General features: G+C 39.9%; 1 protein-coding gene across 2 annotated transcripts in view, besides 1 other annotated feature; it reads left to right on the top strand.

Moving 5' to 3' along the window:
- Window positions 1-26,997, top strand: part of C2CD3 (C2 domain containing 3 centriole elongation regulator) — a 158,285-nt gene that overhangs the window by 77,571 nt on the left and 53,717 nt on the right. For both annotated transcript variants that reach the window (NM_001286577.2, NM_015531.6), the window contains exons 19-24: window positions 844-1,016; window positions 2,496-2,619; window positions 7,546-7,814; window positions 8,462-8,551; window positions 14,715-15,317; window positions 18,832-19,179. In NM_001286577.2, the coding sequence (NP_001273506.1) occupies window positions 844-1,016; window positions 2,496-2,619; window positions 7,546-7,814; window positions 8,462-8,551; window positions 14,715-15,317; window positions 18,832-19,179 (1,607 nt within the window). The remainder of the gene's footprint in view (window positions 1-843; window positions 1,017-2,495; window positions 2,620-7,545; window positions 7,815-8,461; window positions 8,552-14,714; window positions 15,318-18,831; window positions 19,180-26,997) is intronic.
- Window positions 20,792-20,861: an enhancer, noted in NCBI's record as "active region_5250". NCBI's record gives its function as "activates an Ori minimal core promoter by ATAC-STARR-seq in GM12878 lymphoblastoid cells {active_cell/tissue: GM12878}" and the evidence as "EXISTENCE:reporter gene assay evidence [ECO:0000049][PMID:35858748]".

The following is a 26,997-nucleotide window of genomic DNA, read 5'->3' as shown; positions in this document are numbered from 1 at the left end:
TCATTTCTTGTAACCTGTTCTTCCCACCACCAGAGGAACATTTATATTTATTTTATAAATATAATTTAATAATATAATTTATATATAACAAATATATAAATTATTATATTTGATTTATATTATAAAATATAAATCCACTCAATGTTACAGACATTGGAAGATTTCCAGGAAAATACTGGCATAAATACGGATGTTCAACCCACCCCTTTACATCTGCACCACCGACAAACCAACTAAAGTGCTTAAGAGAGTATAAATATAAGAGGAAAGGAAACAGCATCAGGAACAGAACTAGGGATGAGTACCATCCACATGCGAGAACACTTTCCTAAATACAATTAATTGTCAGTCAAGTACAAAAAAGATTTTTAAAACCACCTAGGTTTGAGTTACAACTTTGCAATCTAAGAATGGATTGTTTTGACATAAGAAGGAAATAGAGTAGGTACTGACAGATCCTCATTACCCTGGTAAATTAGAGGGGCTTCAGCATGAAGATGAGAGTAAGCCATGAAAGATATTGGGCCTACTCCACTTTGAACCACTTTTGCTGCTGCAAGATGGAAGCTTTCAGGAGTGGCCACCCCCGACAGGTTCAAGGCATGTACAGTTACCGCACAGAAAACTTGAGGGAAGCTAGGCTTTGTCCTGAACTCGGTATAATTTATGGAGTTCCTCCTCCACATAATGAGTGGTAAATTTAGCCAGACACCATAGCTGCGTACTACCAACACAGAACAATCAGGCACCAAAGATAACCAGGTAGTGAAGGCTGATCTGTGGGGCAGACTGAATCATTTATCACCTAATTCTTCTGACAACGTGTGCTTTTGTGGTTTACAGATACTATTATCCTAATGTGAGAGACCAGAAGGTCGCCAAAGGAACCTTGCCATTATCAAGGATCTGTGCTATGGTAACCACCCAGCATCGTGAGGATGTGGGAATACAGACCTTTAATCTCCCTTTAACCCCCAGGATTGAGAACAGGAAAGAATTGAGGAACCAGTCATCAGGTAATTGAAAACAAGTTTGTCTTTTTCTTTCAAAATCAGTATACATAAAAATATATAAAATAGCCGGGTGCGGTGGTTCACACCTCTAATCCCAGCACTTTGGGAAGCCAAGGCGGGTGGATCACCTGAGGTCAGGAGTTCGAGACCAGCCTGACCAACATGGAGAAACCCCGTCTCTACCAAAAATACAAAAAAATTAGCCAGGCATGGTGGCCCATGCTTGTAATCCCAGCTACTTGGGAGGCTGAGGCAGAAGAATTGCTTGAACCCAGGAGGCAGAGGTTGCAGTGAGCCAAGATCAAGCCATTGTACTCCAGCCTGGGCAACAAAAGCGAAACTCGTCTCAAAAAAAAAATATATATATATATACACACACACACACATATATATATATAAAATATACAGTATACATAAACATCCCTTTTCTCTCTAAATTAGTGATTCTCCACATTTTGAGGGATTTGCCCTTTTGAGGATCTGATGAAAACTGTAAGACACCTTGTCTTGGAAAAAATGAGTATAGAATATACACTGCCAATTTTGTATACAATTCTAGAAAACTCATAGCTCCATGGAGTCTATGTAAATGTTGCTTGTCTCATTTCACCTTTAACTTCAGCAAGCATTTTATAAGCCCTCATGCCATAAATTCTAAGCATTATATGGTACACTCAGAGAATTGTTATTCCAAGCCAACATGAGCAGATAGGGGATTGGTAGAAGATAGCATGAACCAGGAATTCACTGTAAGGGAGGAGAAGGCTAGGGTTTAAAGTTAGGAGAGGATTAATTCGAATTTGGAGATTTGAATGATATTACATCCTAATGCTTCCAGCAGGATGGTGTACCCTCTAAATTTATCATCAGATAACGAAGTTTAGCCTCCTATATCAAGTTGCTGTACATGCTTGCTAAAGAGTATCTGCCAAAACAATAGGTTTTATGTCACCATAATTAAGATTGAGTTGTTTCTCCTGACCCTCCCTGATCAGCTTATTCTGTTATTCCATAAAGCTGTCCCTGAAATGTGACAGTAGGATGATAGAGGTTTTATAAAAAGGTAGCATGAGAAGGATATTTCAGGTGGTGATGGTAGGAGGGTGATAGAAGTATGTGAGGTGTGGAAACCGTTTGAAAGTTTAAAAAGAAAATGGCTAGAGCCCATCTCAATTCTATAAACATAATTGGGGGTAAAAAGAAATCTGGAGTTAAGTTCTGCCTTCAGTAGTTGTGTAATCTTGGCAAGGAATTAAATCTCTGAACCATAATTTCTTGAATGTAAAGTAAATTAGTAACCTGTTAAACCTTTATTAACCTTAAAGAATAACAATGTGATTATGACAAGGACAGATTCTCTCATTGCCCTTATTGTTCGTTGTAGTGTTAATCCTCTTCCATCCTTCCTGACCAAAACTTTGTGGTTTGGTGGAACAGAGATTCTTCTGACCAACCTTCTTTCCTTGTGTCCTCATTCTTCAGGTTTACTGGATGTGGGCCTAAGGTACAGGCGTAGTCCAAGAACAGCAGAGGGAGTTCTTGCTGCCCGAACTGTTTCCATCTCAGTCCAGATTATCAGAGCCTGTGGTCTGCAAGCAGCAGCCAAGTAAGTCCACCTGAGACAAGCAATTCTCAAGCCTTTTACACTGCAATCATTGTAAAATAATGCTCAGATATGCAAAACTTTCTTAGGTATAATTTCCAGTTCACTAACCACAACTCCTCTTTTTCTGTTAATAAAGCATTTCAGAATATGAGTAAATCACTTGCAAACGTTGCTATTTTAACTGTTAGCAACTTACCTCCTTGACCTTGCCCAACAATTTTATCCTGTGCCTTTCTTAACAACTTAGTCTTATGGCCATACCCTACACCATCAAACCATGCCATACCCAATCACTGCAACTCCTGTGTAATCTCACTTCATTCCTTTCAGTCTCTGAGTACTACCTCCTATTTTTCCAGCTTGCACCCCTTTAGTCTGTTCTCAACATAGTAGCCAGTGAACCTATGAACACTTAAGTCTAGCTTTGTCGCCCAGGCTAGAGTGCAGTGGCGGGATCCTCATTACTGTGTTGGTCAGGCTGATCTCGAACTCCTGACCTCAAGTGATCCACCCGCCTCAGCCTCCCAAAGTGCTGGGATTACAGGCGTGAGCCAGTGCACCTGGCCTATGTTTGATCTTATTCAGAGTAAAAACCAGAGCCCTTAAAATGGCTATGAGACCCCATATGATCTAAACCACGTGCCCCACCCCCCATCTATCTTTGTGATCTCATCTCCTGCTAGTCTGCCCTCTGCTTACTCCACTCCAGCCACAACCCCCATGTTGCTTCTGAACACACCAAGCATATTTTCCTCTCAAGGCCTTTGTCTTGCTGTTTTCTCTGCCTGGAACACTATTTCTCTAGAAAAACAGCACAGCCCTTTCCCTTACCTCCTTCAGGTCTTCACTCATACTTCTCTCTGCCTTGAATATTCTTCTTCCTTTTGTCTACTTAACAAACTCCTATTTTCCTTCAAGACTTTGCAACATCTTTACAGTCTCTCTTTATTTCTTTGTACGTGTAGGCAGAGTTGGTGGTTTTTCCTTTGTTAACACCTTGGTTGTAGCACATATTCTGTTTCAATTATTGGCATACATGCATTTTTCTCCCACTAGGCTGTGAGTTCCTCTAGTCAGAGATACTGCCTGAGCTCCTCTCCATCCTTCTAACCTCCTAGCATAGTTCTAGCATATAACAGGCACCCAGTAAGAAAGAGAACTAGATCAGGCTCCTGCTTCAGACTGACACCCTTTGAACAAAGAAACAGACAAGTGCTCCCTAACTTTTTCCCTGTTGTAGCTGAGGGTCAAACTGTTCACCTATAACTTTATGGTCTCCAAATAAGAAATTGCATTATTGTGTGAGATCTGATGCTGAAGAGCTAAGATACTCAGTGTAGTTAATATTGTTCCTCACTAAATTCTCCACGTAGACTCTTTCAGTTACTGCCCAAGAACATCTTAGTGTTAGTGAAGGTGATGTCAAGACAGGTTGGTTTTGGGTTTTGTTTTTATGTTTGTTTTGGTTTTTGGTGTGTTTCGTTTGTTTGTTTGTTTAATTTCAACTTTTTATTTTAGATACAGGGGTACATGTGCAGATTTGTTATATGGGTATGTCGCATGATGCTAAGGTTTAGGGTACAGATCCCATCACTGAGACAGTAAAGCAGTTTTATAATCATACCACTTCCTTACATTAAAACTTGATGATTTCCCATTGTTGATAGCAGTGATCTCATAATTTTAATTATGCATTCCTATTAATAAAAAAGGTAGCATACCCTTTAAATATGTACATATTTACTCATGTATAAATCATCTTCATGTACTGCTATACTCATATACAAAATATATTCTAAGATATACCATGGAATAGAAAAACTTTAATATATGAGATAACCAATATAGTTTATCCTATGAACCTCCTAAGTTGTATACAGCCTTCTTTAGGGATCATTGGTCCATATAATAAGGTCCAACTTCCTTAGCTTGGCATTCAAGCCCCTTCAAAATAAATCTGAGTCTTAAAAGAAGAATAGTAGTTATCAAGATACCCAAAAGGGGTGAAAATTATTTTGGTGAAAGAGAAGAACATGTGCAAAGGCAGGGAGGCATGAAACTTGTGTTTTTGGAGTACCTCCTCAGTCTCAGATCCAGCCAACATCAGAATTCTTCAATATGGCATTAAATTAACTAGCATTTAATTGGCAGAGAAGGACTCAGAATTTAGATACTCAGTAGATCTCAGAGAGGGCAGATAACAAGTCGGAAACTCAGTAGTTGCTCTGTCTGAGGACTCATGAGGAAAGTCAGATTGGATGACAGGCAGTTTGTTCTAAATCTCCCATTTGGTCTGTGTCATATATTCAAGGAGGGAGAACAAGAAGCCAGGCCAGTTCTGACACAACACTCTTCTGGTAGGTTGGGAGAGGTTCACAGGATGTGAGACAATGCATGGTATAATGGACACAGAACTGTTCTAGAAATCAGACACTATAGCTTCTAGTCTCACCCCCATCTCCTACTAGCTGTGTATGATTTGGGGCTGATTTCTTTACTTCCATGAGCTTCGGTTTCTTCATCTGAAATGGAAATTTTAAATACCTACCCTGATTTTGTAGGGATCAGTGTAAAAATTAACAAATATGAAGTCATTTTATAAACTACAAACTATTGTACAAATATACAGATTTTTATGATTACTTCCACTTGTATAGATAATTGTGACCTCTATTTGCCAGTAAAATCAGAGAAGTAAATTTTGCATTGCCTCTTACTGAAAAGAATTCTTGATGTTCTAAACTTACCCCTCTTGAATCCTTACGCTGGCATCTAGATAGCAGGTGCTGTAAATTAGTCTTCTCTCATCAAGAAACACCAGCCTCCATCTTACCTGCCAGTGGTCTTCCTGAAAATACATTGTTGGTGCCTATGTAAAGTAGGCACTTCTTACTGACTTGCTTCTTCTAACTCACCTGATCTTTAACTCAGAGTGAATAGAACCTTTCTTGGACATAGCCAGTAGTCTTTAAATGCCGTGAAGCTAAGGAATTGAGGCTACTTCACTACTATATATCCAGCTGAGCCCAAGGCATGACACACAGAGCAGATACCCAGCAAATAACGACTGAATGAGTGAATTCAAACCAGCTTGGGGCCCAAGCCTTTCTGCCATCTCACTGCCATCTCTGAAAGTTCCCTATTAAGAGTCCTTCACTGTCCATATGCAAGTTCTTTCTTTTGTATATATTATCTAATGTTATCTTTACAACACCCTATGAGTATTTTATCCTCATTTTTTTTTTTTCGAGATGGAGTTTCACTCTTGTCGCCCTGGCTAGAGTGCACTGGTGCGATCTCAGCTCACTGCAACCTCCGCCTCCTGGGTTCAAGCGATTCTCCTGACTCAGCCTCTGAGTAGCTGGGATTACAGGTGCCCGCCACCACGCCCGGCTAAGTTTTTGTATTTTTAGTAGAGATGGGGTTTCGTCATGTTGGGCAGGCTGGTCTCAAACTCTTGACCTCAGGTGATCCGTCCACCTCAGCCTCCCAAAGTGCTGGGATTACAGGCGCGAGCCACCGCACCCAGCCTATCCTCATTTTTTAAGCTACTGCTAGCATTCAATTTATTTTCACCCCATTTTTCCTAGGCATAATATATACTTCATGGTATACTATTGTATGGATGCACATTAATCTTCTGTTAATGATAAATCATCTATTAATGATCATTAACGATAATGAAAAGGAAAAAGTTTTTCTTTTTTTCTTAGAAATGAAATTGCAGTAAGCATCCAAATATATAATATACATCTTTAGTATTTATATACTATCTTATGTTAACCTCATCTTAGTGAAGAGGAAACTGAGACTTAAAGGAGGTTGAATAACTTATCCAGAGTCACATGGTAAGTAAATGGTGGAGCCAGCATTCAAACCCAGATCTGTATAACTCCAAATTACTACTCTCTATGAAGTACAGTAAGGTTTTAACAGGAAGGAACCCAGAAGTCTACTTTAGGGATATCAAGAAATGCTTCAAAAATAGGTGATTTCTTTGCCTAGATGTCAACTCTATCGCCTTGGGGAGTTTAGGGAAAGGGGGTTTGTCCCATACTGTAGCTACACCCAAATGACTTGACTACTCTTTATGAGTGTCGTTAAAGGCGTGTAGATTCCATTTATACATCATGGAACATCTGTGCTGAGAAAGATAAAAGCAGCCCCAGACTTCTGGGAATTGGGCCAAAATTCATAGGTAGGCTTTGGTGTTTTCTTGTTGACCATAAGTAATCTTACAGAACATCAGCATCAGACAAGATCACTGTATGACTATGATGAAGTGAGACAAAAACAAGACAGCTCCATCATCATGTCTAAGCACAGACCAAAACGAGGTCACTTATGCAAACCATAGAAACAGCCAACATCCTCCTGTCTGGCTAAAATGAGTGACAGCTGCTGCTTCACCAGTTATAGCTTTAGCTTTACTCTAGTATTCCCTCCGTCTAGATAAGATTCTTTAAGAAAATCAATCCAGAGCAAAGCCCTGCTCCTTTAAGCCCTCACTCAAGTCAGCTAACACAAGTCCAATGCTGATAAGCCCTTTCTGATACTTCTCACTGAGATGTACTATGGTTCCCCATGGTGTATATTTTCCTTAATTGCAATGAGCAGTAAACCCAGCTTGTTCAACTAGAGTTGGTTCCTGTGGTCCTTGACTTAAGAGCATTGACAGGACAGTGGGTCATCCTCAGAGTCACTCTGATGGGCAGATGTTATCCCCTCCACTCCCATATACATATGCCATGATATCTAGATTACTAAGAAAGCCCATTGTGGCACTGCCAAAAGCCTAGATAGAAAGCATATAGTTGGTTTTATTCTTGGTGGTCTCATAGAAGTAATGAAGTTATTTTCTAGAAAATCAAGCTGATTTCTAATGTTACCATGGTATCTTCTCATTTCCACCCTTCTCCTCTACAGGGCTTTGGCTGAACGGGAACCCGCTCTACAGTTTAGTGCCACAGTCGGGGTCAATGCCTCTGTCACCACTCATCTCTCCTTCCTGCCCCAGGGAGAACAGCGCCGAACCCACCCTGTGGCCTGTTCTTTCTGCCCTGAGTTCTCCCATCACGTTGAGTTCACATGTAACTTGGTGACTCAGCACTGTAGTGGAGAGGCCTGTTTCCTAGCAGAGTTGTTGGAGTTTGCAGAAGTTATTTTTGCTGTCTATCATGAAAATACCAAGTCAGGTGAGCACCATATGACTTGTCACAATCAAAATTAAAAGAGGCTGCATTGTGAATAGTATAGCCCTTCCTAGGAGATACATACTGCAGTATTTAAAGGTGAGGAGTCATAATCTCTGCAACTTATTTCTGAAAGATATAGCAAAAAATAAGGATATGTACTAAGTATGTAAGAGAAAGATAGTGTAGAGAGAAATAAAGCAAATGTGTCAGTGTTAATGGGTGTATCGAGATGAAGGGTGTGTAGGAGTTCATTATTATATTTTTGCAACTTTTCTGTATACCTGAATTTTTTTCAAAACATTTAATTTAAAAAATGGGCTGGGCACAGTGGCCCAAACCTATAATCCCAGCACTTTGGGAGGCCGAAGTGGGAGGATCACTTGAGCCCAAGAGTTCAAGGTGCAGTGAGTTATGATTGCACCACTGCATTCCAGCCTGGATGAGAGAGTGAGACCCTGCCAAAAAAAAAAAAAAATGAAGGCATTCAGGCTTTGATTGGGGCATGAGCAAGAGCAAGATAATCTCTAATGCATTTTACAAAACTAAGATTTAGTGCATATAAGGGGAGGGTTGTGTGGATATACTGTAAACTAGCCCCTTGATGAATAGACCATCAAATAATTTTTCTTTTTTGCTTGATTTAACAGCAAGTGATATAATCAGTATTGAGTCATGCAAAGAGTATCTGCTTGGAGTAGTAAAAGTTCCAACAAAAGAGCTGCTGATCAAGAGATCTGGTAAGGATCCTGGATTATCACTTTCTGATGCCACCCTTTCCCTTTCACTTCCCTACAAGAGGTAATCTTCTCTGTCTCTCATGTAAGATATTCAAAAGAAAACACAACCCCTTAACACATGCTTCTGAACTCTCTCCAATACCTCAAATGTTTTTTGAAACTTTTTTTTTTTTAGTTTAAAGATCTTAATTAATTTTATTTGCAATCGGGAATACTTCATTTCATAAAATAAAATGTGTTCCAATGAGCTGAGCAGAAGAGGTTGATTTTATAGATGGAGAAGTCCTGAAGAAAGGATAAACACAGACCACGCATGGTGGCTCACGCCTGTAATCCCAGCACTTTGGGAAGCCAAGGCGGGCAGATCACCTGAGGTCAGGAGTTCGAGACCAGCCTGGCTAACATGGTGAAACCCCGTTTCTTTTTTCTTTTTCTTTTTTTTTTTTTTATTATACTTTAAGTTCTAGGGTACATGTGCACAACATGCAGGTTTGTTACATAGGGATACGTGTGCCATGGCACCCATTAACTTGTCATTTACATTAGGTATTTCTCCTAATGCTATCCCTCCCCCTGCCCTCCACCCCATGACAGGCCCTGGGGTGTAATGTTCCCCGCCGTGTGTCCAAGTGTTCTCATTGTTCAGTTCCCACCTATGAGTAAGAACATGCGGTGTCTAGTTTTCTGTCCTTGTGATAGTTTGCTCAGAATGATGGTTTCCAGCTGCATCCATGTCCCTACAAAGGACATGAACTCATCCCTTTCTATGGCTGCATAGTATTCCATGGTGTATATGTGCCACATTTTCTTAATCCAGTCTGTCATTGATGGATATTTGGGTTGGTTCCAAGTCTTTGCTATTGTGAATAGTGCCGCAATAAACATACATATGCATGTGTCTTTATAGTAGCATGATTTATAATCCTTTGGGTATATACCCAGTCATGGGATGGCTGGGTCAAATGGTAATTCTATTTCTAGATCCTTGAGGAATCGCCACACTGTCTTCCACAGTGGCTGAACTAGTTTACACTCCCACCAACAGTGTAAAAGCGTTCCTATTTCTCCACATCCTCTCCAGCACCTGTTGTTTCCTGACTTTTTAATGATCTCCATTCTAATTGGTGTGAGATGGTATCTCATTGTGGTTTTGATTTGCATTTCTCTAGTGACCAGTGATGATGAGCATTTTTTCATGTGTCTGTTGGCTGCATAAATGTCTTCTTTTGAGAAGTGTCTGTTCATATCCTTTGCCCACTTTTTGATGAGGTTATTTGTTTTTTTCTTGTAAGTTTGTTTAAGTTATTTATAGATTCTGGATATTAGCCCTTTGTCAGATGGGTAGATTGCAAAAATTTTCTTCCATTCTGTAGGTTGCCTGTTCACTCTAATGGTAGGTTCTTTTGCTGTGCAGAAGCTCTTTAGTTTAATTAGATACCATTTGTCAATTTTGGCTTTTGTTGCCATTGCTTTTGTTGTTTTAGTCATGAAGTCCTTGCCCATGCCTACGTCCTGAATGGTATTGCCTATGTTTTCTTCTAGGGTTTTTATGGTTTCAGGTCTAACATTTAAATCTTTAATCCATCTTGAATTAATTTTTGTATAAGGTGTAAGGAAGGGATCCAGTTTCAGCTTTCTACATATGGCTAGCCAGTTTTCCCAGCACTATTTATTAAATAGGGAATCCTTTCCCCATTTCTTGTTTTTGTCAGGTTTCTCAAAGATCAGATGGTTGTAGATGTGTGGTGTTATTTCTGAGGCCTCTGTTCTGTCTATTGGTCAATATATCTGTTTTGGTACCAGTACCATGCTGTTTTGGTTACCGTAGCCTTGTAGTATAGTTTGAAGTCAGGTAGCGTGATGCCTCCAGCTTTGTTCTTTTTGCTTAGGATTGTCTTGGCAATGCGGGCTCTTTTTTTGGTTCCATATGAACTTTAAAGTAGTTTTTTCCAATTCTGTGAAGAAAGTCATTGGTAGCTTGATGGGGATGGCATTGAATCTATAAATTACCTTCGGCAGTATGGCCATTTTCACAATATTGATTCTTCCTATCCATGAGCATGGAATGTTCTTCCATTTGTTTGTGTCCTCTTTTATTTCGTTAAGCAGTGGTTTGTAGTTCTTCTTGAAGAGGTCCTTCATGTCCCTTGTAAGTTGGATTCCTAGTTATTTTATTCCCTTTGGGGGAGGGACAGGGGGGCGAATCCAGCAGCATATCAAAAAGCTTATCCACCACGATCAAGTTGGCTTCATCCCTGGGATGCAAGGCTGGTTCAACATATGCAAATCAATAAACATAATCCATCACAGAAACAGAACCAATGACAAAAACCACACGATTATCTCAATAGATGCAGAAAAGGCCTTTGACAAAATTCAACAGCCCTTCATGCTAAAAACTCTCAATAAACTATTGATGGAACATATCTCATAATAATAAGAGCTATTTATGATAAACCCACAGTCAGCCGGGCACAGTGGCTCACACCTGTAATCCCAGCACTTTGGGAGGCCGAGGTGGGCGGATCACAAGGTCAGGAGATTGAGACCATCCTGGCTAACAAGGTGAAACCCCATCTCTACTAAAAATACAGAAAATTAGCTGGGCGTGGTAGCAGGCGCCTGTGGTCCCAGCTACTCCGGGGGCTGAGGCAGGAGAATGGCATGAACCCGGGAGGCGGAGTATTTAGAGATCGCACCACTGCACTCCAGCCTGGGCGACAGACCGAGACTCCGTCTCAAAAAAAAAAAAAAAAATATCCACAGCCAGTATCATACTGAATGGGCAAGAACTGGAAGCATTCCCTTTGAAAACTGGCACAAGACAGGGATGCCCTCTCTCACCATTCCTATTCAACATAGTGTTGGAAGTTCTGGCCAGGGCAATCAGGCAAGAGAAAGAAATAAAGGATGTTCAATTAGGAAAAGAGGAAGTCAAATTGTCCCTGTTTGCAGATGACATGATTATATATTTAGAAAAAAAACCCCATCGTCTCAGCCCAAAATCTCCTTAAGCTGATAAGCAACTTCAGCAAAGTCTCAGGATACAAAATCAATGTGCAAAAATCACAAGCATTCCTATACACCAATAGCAGACAAACAGAGAGCCAAATCATGAGTGAACTCCCTTTCTTGAAACATTTTAAGTCTTCTCCTAATCGTTCTGAAGTTCTTATAATAAAACAAAGAAGCTCAAGACATTATACTATCATCCTTCTCTAAGAAAGATGGTGGTGATGATGATGATGATGATGGTGATGATGATGATGATGATGAAGAATATGGCAATATCCATTACATTATGTAGCACTTTGTAAAATATTTTCTCAGATCTTGTTTGAGCTTCATGATAACCCTGACAGGTAAGGATATAGGATCTTATTATTTTCATTTGACACATGAGAAAACTTAGAGATTAAGTGGTTTGCCAAAACCACATACCTGGTGAGTGGCAGGACCTGAAATGAAATCCAGATTCACTCATTATTTTTCCCTATTTTTTCTCTCACTGAAGAAGGAATAAGGACATGGGATAAATGCCCCCCAAAATAGACACAACCACCAAGGCAGTCTGGAAATACTGATCCCATCCTACTTAACTAGTAACTGGGTGACCTTGACCAAGTGATTTGACCTCTCTGAGCCCCCATTTTCTTATCTTGTGGGATGGATACAGTTAATCCTGACAAGTCTACAAGGTAGGAATTCATTAAATTGGTTATATAAAGTACCTGACACATAGTAGGTGTGCAGTAAGTGTAGGTTTTCCTTCTGTTGTCAATCTTCCTGCCTAGGATTGTGTAATCTAGTTTGCAGAATTCTGTCACACATCTCCCAATTTTATTATGAGTTAGTATTTGAGCACTACCCTAATAAACAGGTACTGTGTATGTGCCTGCCAGAGAGAAGTCTGCACAAGTTGATATGGGATTCAAATCTCCCTTCTGTCACTTACTATTTGTGATCTAAAGAAAGTTACTTCATCTTTCAGATCCATGGTTTCCTCATCTGTAATGGAAATAGTAAGATCTATTTCACTAGATTATTAAAGCATTTAATAAAATCTTACATGTGAAAGATCTTGGCACAGGGCTAGGTACGTAGGATACCTCAATTTCCTTCCTTCTATAACTTAGCTACAGTTTGTGAGAGAACAAGCACCATCTGGGAAATCACATCTCTGTGAATTAAAATTAACCCCTTGGATATAAACCTTTTAGATAATTAAGGATATATCATTTCTCTTTGTTCTAAAGTGAGCACTCTATTTTGTTTTTTCCTACCTATAACCTCAATTATAGAATCGCAAAGCTAAAGTAACCATCTAATAATCTGTGCAGTTCTTAAACACTGAAATGGCGTGAAATTTTGTGTCTACACATATTTGTTTATTTTGGGGGGCATAATAGCTTTCATTTGAGCCAAAAGGGTCTGTGACCAAAAAAATGTTAAGAACCATTAAGCTGTGGGGAAACATAATCTTAGAGCCAAAGCCCTAGGCTCTTAGACTATCAAGCCGAAAAAGAGCCTTAGAGATCAAAATTTTCAGCCTCCTCATTTCATAGAGAAAAACTAAGAACAAGAACACCCAGAAAAGTTAAATACCTGTCCAAAAGTCATAAAACCTTAAGTAATCTTCAGCAAATTAATCTCAATAAGCCTAAATCTCATTTGTAAAATATACTTAGTAAAACATTTCGCAGAAAATTGCTGTGAATATTATCATTCCACAATGTTTTATATAATGCCAAAATCTGAAAGACCCTGAAAATAGAAGTTTTTTAACTCATTGAGGAGCCAAATCTGACCTCAGCTGATATGAGACTTAGGCAACTGCCTATTTATGTAAACTTTTATTAAAACACACTGTGCCCATTAATTTACATAGTGTCTGTGGCCACTTTATTACCACAGTATCCCAGTTGAGTAGCTGCAGTAGAGACCATATGACCCACAAAGCCTAAAATGTTTACTATCTGTGAGCCCTGATATATAATATTATATAATATTCAGTTTATGTACTCTATTACCTTTCTAAAACCTGAGAAATTCTAAATTCAGAAATAAATCTGGCCTTAAAGGTTTCAGATAAGATAGTGTGAACCTATACTAGGTGGAATGTAGACTTTAGAGCCAGCTAGACCTGGAGTCAAATTCTAGCTCTCTTACTTGGTAGCAGTAATAAGTTGGACAGGTATCTGAGCTTCCACTTTCTCATCTGTAAAGTAAGGATTATTCTCCCATTTAGTCCTCAGAACTTCTCAGGGTTATCAGAGGAATTAAATGAAATAATATCTGTAAAGGGCTAGCAGAATTTCTGACACATACTAGATATTTAATAAAGAGTAGTTTTTGTCCAGGTGCAGTGGCTCACTCCTGTAATCTCAAAACCTTGGGAAGCCAAGGTGCAAGTATCACTTGAGGCCATGAGTTCAAGACCAGCCTGGGTATCACAACACGACCCTATCTCTACAAAAAAAAACAAACAAACCCACAAACCTTTTTTTGGAAAATGGCCAGGCGTGGTAGCACATGCATATAGTCCTATATTCTCAGGAGGCTGAGGCAGGAGAATGACTTGAGCCCAGGAGTTCAAAGTTACAGGTGACACTGCCCAGGCGGGCAATAGAGAAAGATTTTGAAATCTAGCACCTGGTCCTTGGTATGTGTTCTCTAAGTGCCGATTCCCTTGATAGAAGACTTGGGTCTAGACCCCAGATCTCTTTTGACCCCTGCCTTTTCTGTTGCACTCATAGTACCATAAACATTTCACTTTTAAAGCACTTCTCTCTCAAAGCTCTTTCTAAACCATTATCTCATTGGACAATCATAACAACTTTGGGAGACAGCACTAGCATCAGTTTTCCCATTTGTGAGGTAAGGAAACCAAATCTGAGAGAAATTAATGGCTTGTTCATAATAAACCACTAGTTCTAGCCATAGCCAAAGAGAACTCAGATCTTCCAACTCCTAGCCTTTGTTCTTCCCATCTAATCTCATTGCCTCTCAATGGTCAGATGAACATAAACTCCAACTCACTGTGGGTATGTTTTCTGTTCTGTCTTGAGCCAGGATGATAGGACACTATGGGGTGGAGAGTAAGTAACTTGTTTTTTGTTTACTTTTAAGACTATAATTGAGAATCTTTATTTTCTCCCGTAAGGGATCACAGGATGGTATCCTATCATTTTACCAGAAGACGGGGGCCTACCTCATGGCCTGGAGCTCATGCAGAAGATCGTGGGTGGTCTGGAGCTTTCGATTTCCTTCACGCATCGTGGAGATAGAGAACGGGTGTTGGAAGCTGCTGAGCATTTGGGCTGGAGCTTTGAGAACAGCCTGAAAGATTTTGTCAGAATGGATGAAGGGGAGCCAGCCACTGTCACCATCTCCACCCCAAGGCTGTGGCTGCCCATCCATTGTGTGCTGCTTGCTGGCCACAACCACATTCATAAGAATACATATTGCTACCTTCGCTACAAGTTCTATGATCATGAAGCCTTTTGGACCCCTCTCAAGAAGCCTAAGGAATCTGTAAACAAAAAGCAGATTATGGTCACTTTCAAGGCATCCAAAAGAGCAGAAGTCACCAGGGGCCCATCACTGCTTTGGTACTTCAGGGAGGAGAGGCTAGAGATCCAAGTGTGGCGAGCTTATGGCAATGACAGTGTGGAGAGACCCCATCAGACAGACAGCTGGATTGGCTCAGCCTATGTGGACCTGGCCAGACTTGGGGAGAGGTCAGCGAGGACGCTAACTGTCAGTGGTAAGTGAGGAGCCTGATTCAACTCTTGTAGTTTGAGCACCTGCTCTGTGTCAAACACTAGGTGAGACACTCTGTCAGACATTACTTTACTTGACCCTCCCAGCAATCCTGTGAGATAGGTATTATACCCATTTTACATTCATAAAAAAGGAGGCTCAGAGAGATTGAGTTACCTGCCCAGGGTCACAGACTAGTAAGTGTTCCTTCCATTATTGCATGCTGAAAGATTAATAATAATTTAGTAGTGCTTCTTGTAACTAAAGAGATAATATATATATATATATATATATATATATATATATATATATATATATATATATATATATATATATATATATATATACTGTAAGTTCTGGGGTACATGTGCAGAATGTGCAGTTTTATTACATAGGTATACATGTGCCATGGTGGTTTGCTGCACCCATCAACCTGTCACCTACATTAGGTATTTTTCCTAATGCTATCCCACCTCTAGCCTCCCACCCCTAACAGGCCCCAGTGTATGATGTTCCCCTCCCTGTGTCCATGTGTTCTCATTGTTCACCTCCCACTTATGAGTGAGAACATGCGGTGTTTGGTTTTCTGTTCTTGTTTGCTCAGAATGATGGTTTCCAGGCTTCATCCATGTCCCTGCAAAGGACATGAACTCATCCCTAAAGAGATTGTTTTTAAAGTTCCACTGCCTGCTTAAGAAAGGGTGTTACCTTATTCCAGTACTGTGGTGAGGTCAACATAGGTCAAAGAATTGGCTCTGAACTTCGTAGCACTAGAGTGCATCCAAACTCATCGGATTTTTGCATTTAACATAGTGCTTAGAACATTGTTAACACTTATGAAATAATGAATGAATTTAGGGAACTACTTGTAATCACATATATAAGAGCCTATCTGATCATCTAGAATGCTAGTTTATTAATTATATGGAAAAGCATACCTACTGAGGGGACCAGGGTATTCTTCCTCTCTGGTCACCACATCTTGGAACCATAAAGAAAATCTATATGGTAATAAACAGAGCAGAAAAGAAAAGGGTAACATTTTGCAGGTGGCATTTTTGTGCTGGGTGCTTTTCTTTCAAACATTTGTTTAGTACTTGTTACATATGCTTGGACCTGGGAATTCAAAGATGAGTAAGAACTAGTTCCTAACCTTAAAGAGTTTACAGTCTAATAGGAGAATACAGTAGTAAGTAAATAATTACAATGAAGCATCAGAACTATGAAAAAGGTATTCTTGGTGCTATGGGAACACAGGGACATGACACCTCTAAGGATAGCATCTCAGTGAAAGTGATACTTGACCTGAGTTTCAAAGGATGTAGGTATAAGTCAAGGAAAGGGGGAAAGAGAGATATTCTAAAGAAGGGAACAGCATGGGTCAAAGTACAGGAGAATGAGGCAGTTTGATAGATTTTGGGGACTGTAGTAATTTCAGACAGCTGCATGTTAGGATACATAGATTGGGAAGTGATTAGAGATGAAGCTAGGGAGGTAGGCAGGAGTACTGTGTTGAAAGCCTTCTCTTCTCAGCTGAAGTTTGGACTTTTTTCCTGAGAATTATGGAAAACTAGCACAATGGTTCCTGAATACAAGAGGAGTGTATAGCTTTGCATTTAGAAAAATAAAGCTAGTGACTGTAGTTAAGATGAATTAGAGATAGCCAGACTAGATTCTTTACAAATATGATCTTTATTCAGCTTAACATTGCTGTCCAGTTAGTTGTTATTTCCCCCACTCTACAGTCGAAGAAACTGAGTCATGACCCTTTGTTAGCCCTATCAGCCCTGTGCTCTGACCCTGTTGTTGAGTGGGTGGGCCAGGCTAGAGGAGAACTGAGTGTATCTAGGTGATCATCCCAAATTCTCTGGTTCTTTCTGGACCTAACAGGTGTAAATCTGGCTCTCTTGAGCACATCAAATGCCATGTGCTCTGTTTTATCTGGGCAGGCCTAGAGTCCCTTCAAAGGGACTACAGAAAATGTCCTTGAAGTGAACCAAGTTCACTTAAACTAAAGTTTATAAAGACAGGCTTTTAGCTTCATTCTGCTGAAGAAAGTAGGTTTAGGACACTGAATATAGATCTAAGTATAGGAACTCAAGCACAAATACTTCTTTTTATTGAGTGCTACCAAAGGTAGTATTTAGCTTTTCAGATCATCCGTTTCTCTCATACTTCTCCATATCCCTCTTGTCTGAGCTTTTTATCCTCTTGTGCAAGGGTCTTATACAAGGCATGTCATTTGATGTGTTTGTTGAATGCGTCAAGCCATCCATCCAACCTTACTTCCATGTTTTATTCATTTTCCTGAGGATAAGGATTTAACTGTGTTGCTTTTGGGTGTCTTCCCACCTGTAATGACCTGCCCTTATTTTCCTTTGATAATCATAATAATTTACACATTGCTTTGAGAAGAAAACTGGTTATCTAAAACAGGAAAGGTTTCATATTATTGCCATCTATGAATCAGTTAACTCCATTTTCCTGAATTGAAGTGAATCTAATGAAGCAAACTTTGAGATTCAGAAGGAACTATTAGTTCCTTCTGTTTTATAAATCTCATTTTAATATTCAGCAAGTTAGTAAAATTCAAGTCTCTGGGCTTAAATCTGCCACTTACTGCCAGAGTGATGTTGGCAGTTTATTTAACTCCTCTGAGATTCTGGCTTATGAAAAACACTCAACAAATATTAACTCCGTTGTATTTATTTCTGGTCTCCTGCTAACCTCCTACTTCCCCCCACCCCCCCCCAAAATATCGCCCGAACCCTAGTGAAACATAGCTAAATTGAGTGTCAAGACAGCCTCCTGATAGGGAGAAGGTCGAAAAACAGGAGCCCATGAGACACGAGGAAGAGAAAATAGACCACTCTTGATTTCATCAAATCTTAGACTTCTCTAAGTCTTGTTGCCTCTCAGCGCATGAATCCCTTCCACAACAGCTCTGCCTGGTAGTCATTTGGCTTTGGCTTTAAATCAGAGATCTTACTATTTTCATTACTTTTGTTTGTTTGTTTTATTTTGTTTTGTTTTTTGAGACAGAGTCTTGCTCTGTCACCCAGGCTGGAGTGCAGTGGCGCAGTCATGGCTCACTGCATCCTCAACCTCCTGGGCTCAGGTGATCCTCCCACCTTAGCCTCCTGAGTAGCTGGGACTGCAGACACACACCACCATGCTCAGCTAATTTTTGTGTTTTTTGTAGAGATAGGGTTTTACCATGTTGCCCAAACTCTTGAACTCCTGGACTCAAGCAATTTGCCCACTTCAGTCTCCCAACGTGCTGGGATTACAGGTGTGAGCCACCACACTCAGCCTACTTTTCATTATTGAAGATAGTTAGGGCAGGGTAAAAGTTTTCATGTTTTCTACCAGCTTCATAGTTTCTTTTGCAAATTGCTGTATTGGGGTTTGTAGACCTTTCAAAGGAGAAAGGACCACAGCACCCTCAGTGAGTATTTCCTCCAAGCTTGGTCTTGGTTCCTGCTTGACTAGCCTTATTCTTCTCCATCTTCTTTTAGGTGTGTATCCTCTGTTTGGACGAAATGCTTCCAACCTCTCAGGAGCTGCCTTGCGAGTTCATGTGGTTCTTTCCTCTCTTTCCTCACACCTTGAGCCCACTCATGAGCTGGACTCCATGGACTGCAGCAGCCACAGTGAGTCTGAGCAGCTCCCCAGAAGGAATGATGAGGTCCAGCTCTCTCCACCAGAAGTCATCTCCTGCCACCAGAAGTCTCCTGCCTCCACCCAGGTCCCCTGCAGCAGCACCACAGCTGAAGTCCGCCTGACGCAGGAGGGCCCTGCTGATTTGGATGGAACGTTTGCAGTCAGCATCCTAGTAGAAAGAGCAATGCACTTGAGCTTGAAAGGTATGCTCTCCTCACCTACCCAGGAGCATGTCTAACTCTTCAGGGTGTGCTCCTTTCTTCACAAATCTTTCAAATCATGGCAGGATCTGTTAATTATCTCAACTGATAAATATTTATTTCTCAAGCCTAAAGGTTTAAGCAACATGAAAGCTTTTCTGAACTTGTTGCATATCGTAAATTCCCCAGTCCAGCCACCTGAGTCTCAACCTAGATAGATACTTCTCTTTTCCTTATCCACTGTCAAATCATCGGATCCCTAACTTGTTCTTTATTAAATTTCTCAGATTTCTTCCTTCTGCATTCCTGCCAACTCAGGCCTTCCTAATGCACCTAGGGCCAGGTGTTTTTAACATTGGGTCCTTAAACATCCAAGGGATCCGTGAAAAGTTCAAACTCCGGGTTAGTGGCCTTGGATAGGAAAATAATTACATCTTTATTTTTAGCAACCTCTAGCTAAAATTTAACATATTTCCTCTCATTATGAATATAGGCAGTAGATCCTAGTAATAGTACCTGTGATATTGTCAACAATAGAAATCACAGGTATTTCCATATCACATCATTATTGCAGATATCTTAGAATATCACTTATAACTATGATTTCTTTGAAATTACAATAGTTAGGGGGGTTTTTTTGTTTGTTTTGATTTTTTTTTTTTTTTTTTTGAAACAAAGTCTTGCTCTGTCGCCCAGGCTGCAGTGCAGTGGCACGATTTCGGCTCACTGCAACCTCCACCTCCCAGCTTCAAGCAATTCTCCTGCCTCAGCCTCCTGAGTAGCTGGGATTACAGGCTTGTGCCACCACTCCTGGCTAATTTTTGTATTTTTAGTAGAGATGTGTTTTCACCATGTTGGACAGGCTGATCTCGAACTCCTGACCGCAAGTGATCCACCCACCTCAGCCTCTCAAAGTGCTGGGAGTACAGACGTGAGCCACTGTGCCAGACCTACAGTAGTTATTACCTATAGTTAGACCTTGTTACTAAAGCACATATATTACTATATCACAAAGTTCTTTTAGTTTTGATAACTCTATGTAAATATAATTGGATTTCTCTGTAATCCTATGTGTTTTACATTATGCATTTTAAAGAAACACTGTTAAAAGAAGAGGCCCATAGACCTTGCCAGATTGCCAGAGTCCATGGCACAAAGAATTCCTGCCCTACCTTTATTCAGCATTGTAATCTCCTAAAATTTCCCCTTTGCCGTCACCCTTCTCTTTTGCCTGGCTACTTCCAGCTCCTCTCTTCAGACCCAGCTCAGGCATCACCATTTCCTGGAGGGCTTTCCCAATATAAAGGCCCCCTTCTATTTGCTCCCCTGGCACTTTGCCCCTGTATCATATCATATGTCACACAGTACTGCAGTTGTTTCCATGGTTTTCTTTTCAACTAGATATGAACTGTTCAAAAGCAAAGACCTCATCTCATTTGTTCATTCATCATGCATTCATTTATTTTACAACAAAACTTACTGTATTTGCTACATGCTAAGCCCTGTCCTTGGTGCCAGGGATAAAACAGTAAAAAAAAAGGACAGACAAAAATTGTGCCCTGTGGAGATTACATTCTAGTAGGAATATATTTATCCCTGTGTCCCTAGCCAATAAATTGTATGTGTACATATGTGTGACTTTGAGCAAGGTATTCTTTCTCTCTGTCTTGAATTTCTCATCTGTAAATGGCTGTGATTAACAATGTTCAGATGTGTGGTGTCTATGAGAGCCAGTCAACCATGGCCTTATGAATCCAGAAAGTTTCAATATACATCATTTGATTCAGATTTGACCTCTCTGTTTGGCTCCTGTCATCTCTGTTTTGGTGTCTCTCAAACTGTGTCATGTGTCCTTACTACTTTAGAACAGAAACAAAACCTGTGCTCATAGTAACTATTATTTATCTCTCATTCCTACTCCTCCCCGTTTATACTACCAACAGCCATTACTCCTGGGATTATAAGCTTCCATAATGATCCTTGATGTTCTCATCCATTTCAGCCATTGTGTATCAGAAACCTTGAAACATTCTATATCAGGACAAAGTCTTCTTCAAGTGCAGTGTGAATCACAAAATTGAACAATTTTTACTTGTTTTTAAAGAAAAAAAAATTTTCTGCCCCACCAAAGCAGCCATTTTTGACAAATTTTTTTTAAAGACCAAAAAAATCAATAGATGAATGAGTTTAAGGAAAGTATTAAAAAGCTTCTTTTATTTTTGGAAAGTTTTTTTTTGTAGTTGCATTGAAAATAAAATTTAATATACAAAAGATATGGTATATGTTACATTTTAGGAGAATTCCCATATTGTTAAAAAAAAGCAAAATATACTTACAAATTTTCAATGAGACAGTGAATTACAGTTTTATAATATCACTTGGCAAAATTTTATAATAATTTATTGAGCATCATCTGCTGTGTGCTGAGTTCTATTCTAGTCTTTGTACATTAATTATGGGTTAGGTATCCCAAATCCAAAAGCACCAACTTGGTGCTCAAAGGAAATGCTCATAGGAATATATCAGGTTTCAGATTTTCAGATTTGGCATACTGAATAAGTATAATGCAGATATTACAAAATCTGAAATACCTCTTGCCCCAAGCATTTCAGATCAGGGTTATTCCCTGTATCCCCTTTAATCCTTGCCACGAGCAGGATTATAGTTTGAAGAGATTACAATACATAATCATTTCACAAATGAGGAGACCGAAGTTCAAAAAGGTAAAATGACCTGAAGTTACATAGTTAATGCGCTCTGCAGAACCAGATGGGCAGGTCTATACTCAAAGAGACAATGGGCAGATCTCTATACTATAGGTCTACACTCTATGCTCAGCACAGTGCCTGACTGACACATAAATGTCTGTGGGAGGAAGGACTGCATGGGCTTATCACTGCAGGGTGGAAATCAGGATACAACAGTGACGTCTGGAAAGTCAGATGTCTACCCTATGCTTGCCTTGACCTGGCTAAACAGAAAGAGGCTAAATAACAAGTGATTTACAGGTCTGCAACTCTTGCCAGAAATGTGAGAGGCGTTATGTCTCATATTCATAAAACAGGAGGACATTATGTTTGCTTTGCTGCATCATGAAGATCACAGTGCTGGGATAAACAAACAACACACAGTCCCTGTCCCCAAGGAACAGCCTAATGGAGAGACATGTTAACATTTTTAGTACAGAGGAATAAACGATATGAAAGAGGAAAGCTGTGGGGAGGTGGATGTGGTAGTATAGGAAAACTTTGAGAACACAGAGGGCATTTTTTTGCTAATGGGGTGGTCAGGGCAGGCTTCCAAGTATTGGTGTCACTTTAGCCTACTCTTGAAGGAGGAGGAGCAAGTTTGCTGAATGAAAGAGGAAAAAGGCATTCTAATGAGAAGAAACAGCATGCTCAAAAGCTTGGTAGTATGAGAGAATGGGACATTGGCCAAAAAAAGGTCATTAAATGTGAGTAAAAAGTAGTGAGAAATGGGGCTGGAAAGACTAATTAGGCTACATAGGCAGCATTTTGTATGCTACATGACTGACACTGCAGGTGAGATGAAACCAACAAAATCTTAATCTGTGGAGAGGCAAGGTCATATTTGTTGACCAGACATGAAATCTTGGTGGCAGTATGAAAAAGATACTGGAGAATACCGAAAGCAGCAATCACTGAGAGGGCCGTCACATTAGTTCAAGTTCTGAAGCCTAAACAAGCAAGGTGGCAGCAAGAATGGAGAACAGGCGACAGAAACTTTCTGGTAGGAGACCATGATTCTACACTCTGTACTTCTGACTTTCCTCTTGCCTTAATAGTGTTCTCAGAGTGTCTGTCCTTTTTATGCCTTGGAAGCTCTTTCTTAAGGAAGGAAATGAGTGGTTCCTTCATGCAAACCTTTATGCAGAGGATTCACAAACAGCCCCAAATTAGGAGCTTTGCCTTCAGCAAAGCTGAGTTCTGAAGCAGCTCTGAAATGGTCTGTGGTCACCACTGTAGTCCTGGTTCTGAAAATAAAAGAACTTCTTGGATACTTATGTTAGAAAAAGCTCTGAGGAACCTTCGGTTAAGATCAGCTTCAATACTCTTAAGGTTTGTATACTTATATTAGACAAAACAGGTATTTCTAGCCCTGTTTTACAAATGAGACAAATAAGGAACAGAGAGGTAAAATGATTTGAAGTAGCATAAGTTATACTCAGTAAAAAGTAAAATCAGCTTCAATATTATCAACTTTTAGAGGCATTCTTTAGCCCATCAAGGCAGAGTTCAGGACACCTCTGGGTTCCCATGTGCTTTTAGCATAGTCTTTATCTTATTGGGTTGTAATTATCTGTCTGTGTTTGTCTCCCGCAGATCAAGAATCAAATCTGACTCACCTTGTACAGGTGTGACACAGAGGAGGTGTCAGCTAATGTTAGCTTAATACACCTGCTGGGCTAAGTTTTTATTAACATAAAAAATTGGACATTGCTTAAGGGGGAAGTTTCCATCCATTCACTCCAGGCCAAAGGGAGAGCACTTCTCTTAACCAGATGGAGATAATTAGAATGATTGCAATGGAAAAAAATCTAAAGTACGAGTCAGGAAACCGTGGTTCTTCTCAATGCTAGTTAACCAGGTATGTGATGAGCAAGCCACTTCTCTGTTCCTTGGTTGCCTTATTTTTATAATAGGGATAGAGATGCCTATCTTATGCGATTTTCAGAGACGTTATCAGCACAACTTTAGTGTGTAAGAAAACAGTGTGCAAGCTGTAACGCATTATCTAAATATGAGAAGTTGTTATTTTAATCTCACTGAAACAATTACACCTTTCTTGATGCATAAAATTCTTAAATGGCATAACTGGTTCACCTCAGGTCTTCTTAATGTGTGTCCCAACCCTGTGGGGGGTATAGCAGCCTTCTTTTGGGCTGCTTCCAAAAGTATTTCAGAACTTGACCTTTTTCAGAATGTAAACAGGCCCAGATGAATTTCCACCTACAAGAGGAGAGCCAGAGAAACCTGATAGACCTGCTCTCCCAAGCTGATTTCTTTTTCACCCACCTGTTTGGCTAAAAGGAATGTGTCTGTTCAAGACTAAATAAGGAACTATCTTCTTCCAAAGTCAAAATAGTTTTGTTTCAAGGCCTTTAGCAAATAGCAGCTTTAAAAATAAACTGGAGGATGGCCGGACGCAGTGGCTTATGCCTGTAATCCCAGCACTTTGGGAGGCTGAGGCAGACAGATCACTTGAGGTCAGGAGTTCAAAACCAGCCTGGCCAACATGGTGAAACCCTTTCTCTACTAAAAATACAAAAATTAGCTGAGCGCAAGCCTGCAATTCCAGCTACTCAGGAGGCTGAGGCAGGAGAATCACTTGAACCCAGGAGGTGGAGGTTGCAGTGAGCCGAGATCGTGCCTCTGCACTCCAGCCTGGGCGACAGAGTGAGTGAGACTCCGTCTCAAAAAATAAATAAATAAATAAATAAACCAGAGGGATGGGGGTAGTGCCATGAGAGATGTGAGCAAGGTTGATATATATCTAGAATTAGAATTTTACTGTGGAAGGTGGTTTGAGAGCACTTATTTCTGATGAGAAAACCGAGGCCCAGTTAGCCAGAATGAAGTGGTGTATCCAATATGTCACACTAAAGCAATGGCAGACTACATTGGAACCTAGGTGTCCTGCCTCTGGGAACAGTGATTGGTCCTCTCTGCTGATCTTCCTCAGAGCTTTCTTGAGAAGATGTTGCTATCTTCTGTGGGTATGTACTGCAAGCAGACAAGGCAACTCCTCTCTCTAACCCTGGGCAACTATCTGTAGACAAAGGGCAGTGGGAAGTCAGCAAACATTTAATAAGGGCCTTGGGAATACTCTGTGCATTCAAAGAGCTCTCAGTCTAGTGAGGGAAACACAGATTATTATACAATATGTGAGAGCTGCTGTGGTAGAGCCAGGTTATCTCTTCCTAATTGTGAGGATTTATGACATTTTATTGGAAGAAATTAGTTGAAGCTTAAGACCGAAAAAGGAAAATGGGAGAAAGAATGAGAGATGAAAGCTATATCAGGCAGAGGAAATGGAACCCACTCCAGCCATTTTAAGCAGAGAGGAGTTTAATATAGAATATTAAGGTACTTTAAGTCATTAGAAGGGCTAGAGGAGTGAGCTCTAGGCTAAACTTCTAGGAGGGAACCACTAAATCTTTTAAGTTCAGAATACAGTGCCAAAACTGAAATCTAAGAATCAGAAGCTCTCGTCATAGCCATTGCCACAGGGCCTCTCTGCACCCAGGGACCAAATGCTAGATCAAAAAACACAATGTCTCTACATCATCATCCTTGTTATTAGCAAAAGCAGAAGGAAAAGAAAGATGTCCTCTGCTTCCCGCCTGCCTTCCAGATCTTTTGTGAGGGCATCTGATTGGTAGAGGCCAATTTGCATCCATACCCTAGCTGCAAAAGAGTCCGAGAAATGTAGCTTTTAATGCTTCCAATCTGTACAATAAAGGAGTACAATGCAATAAAAGTAGGTGGGGGTGGATGCTCAGCAAGTCAATCCGCATAAATACTGTTCAGTTTCACTAAAATAAAACTTTTAAGAAGATAGCTCACTGGGTACTATTAGTGATATTTTATACATTTACATTAGTAATATGAATACTATTTTATTGATTTCCATTAACTGATTTTTTGCCTACTACCATTAAATTAGAATTACCTTTCCCTGTTCTTTCAAAAATATGCTGTAACTCCTACTGCTTCCCTTGACTAGCCTTAAAAAATTTTTTTCTTTAATATGCTTGTAAACTGGTTTGGCCAAGTTGTAGCCAGTGATTATTTTGTTTTGTTGTTTTGCTCCTCATATAGTTCTCTATATCTTTAATGCTTTCCCGGTTCTAAGGCTCCTCTGCCTTTTTCCAGGTTCAGCCTTTTTCCAGGTCCTGCTTTGTTGGCAACTTGTACATGCCTCAGTTCTCTCCTGCTTTGTGGACGCCACTAGATCTTCCTTCCAAGGCTAGCATTTCTCTTCAGTTCTCCTTCCCAAGCTTCCTCACAAAATCTCCATTCTCTTTTCTCTTCCCATCACCCAGTTTCTTTCTTTATTATTTCCAGTACAAATGACTGAAAAAGTAATGTCATCTGGTCTGGTTTTGTGCCCTGGGTGCTAGAAGTCACAAGATTAAATAATAGCATGTCAATTTTTTAACCAATATTTGGGAACAGAAATGCTGTTTTTCATTTATACATTTCAGATACAAATATGGTTGTATTATGGAATATAATATAAAACCTTCATGAATTTCTAAAATGAAAGACAAGCCTACTAGTAGATGTTATGCTTATTGTAGTTGTTTTAAGGCAACAGGGACCCCTACACTTCAGAGTTTAATGTTTACTCTTCTCTGAGTTTAATGTTTACTCTTCTCTGAATCATTGTTACTTTGGTGGGAAAGTTTGAAAAGAATTTGGTCTATGACATGGTGCTGTAAATTCTTCTACTTGTGGACTAATTTTGGTGACCATCTTTCTGTCTCTGCAGTCTCTTAAGCAGATTGACTATGATGCATGTCACATTCAAGTTTAATTGTGTAATAAAACAGTTTTCTTTCTGTTCAAAAAAAAAAAGAATTGGTCTAATGGAAATTCTTTACGTTGAGGAAAACATATCAAAGCAAAGCTGTAGCTACTTTTCTTTCCCTGAAAGAAATTTTAAGTTGGAAGCTCTAACTGGGGTTATAAAGTTCAGTGATTGCACCTAGAGAGGCTTGTCAGAGTAGATGGAACTAGAACCTGTCTTTTAAAGACTACTTGTTAAATGTTTTTTTTTCTTTCTTTCTTTCTTTTT

This window comes from Homo sapiens, chromosome 11 (assembly GCF_000001405.40).
Source record: "Homo sapiens chromosome 11, GRCh38.p14 Primary Assembly".
NCBI lineage: Eukaryota > Metazoa > Chordata > Mammalia > Primates > Hominidae > Homo > Homo sapiens.
This window is presented reverse-complemented; position numbering and strand designations above follow the sequence as displayed.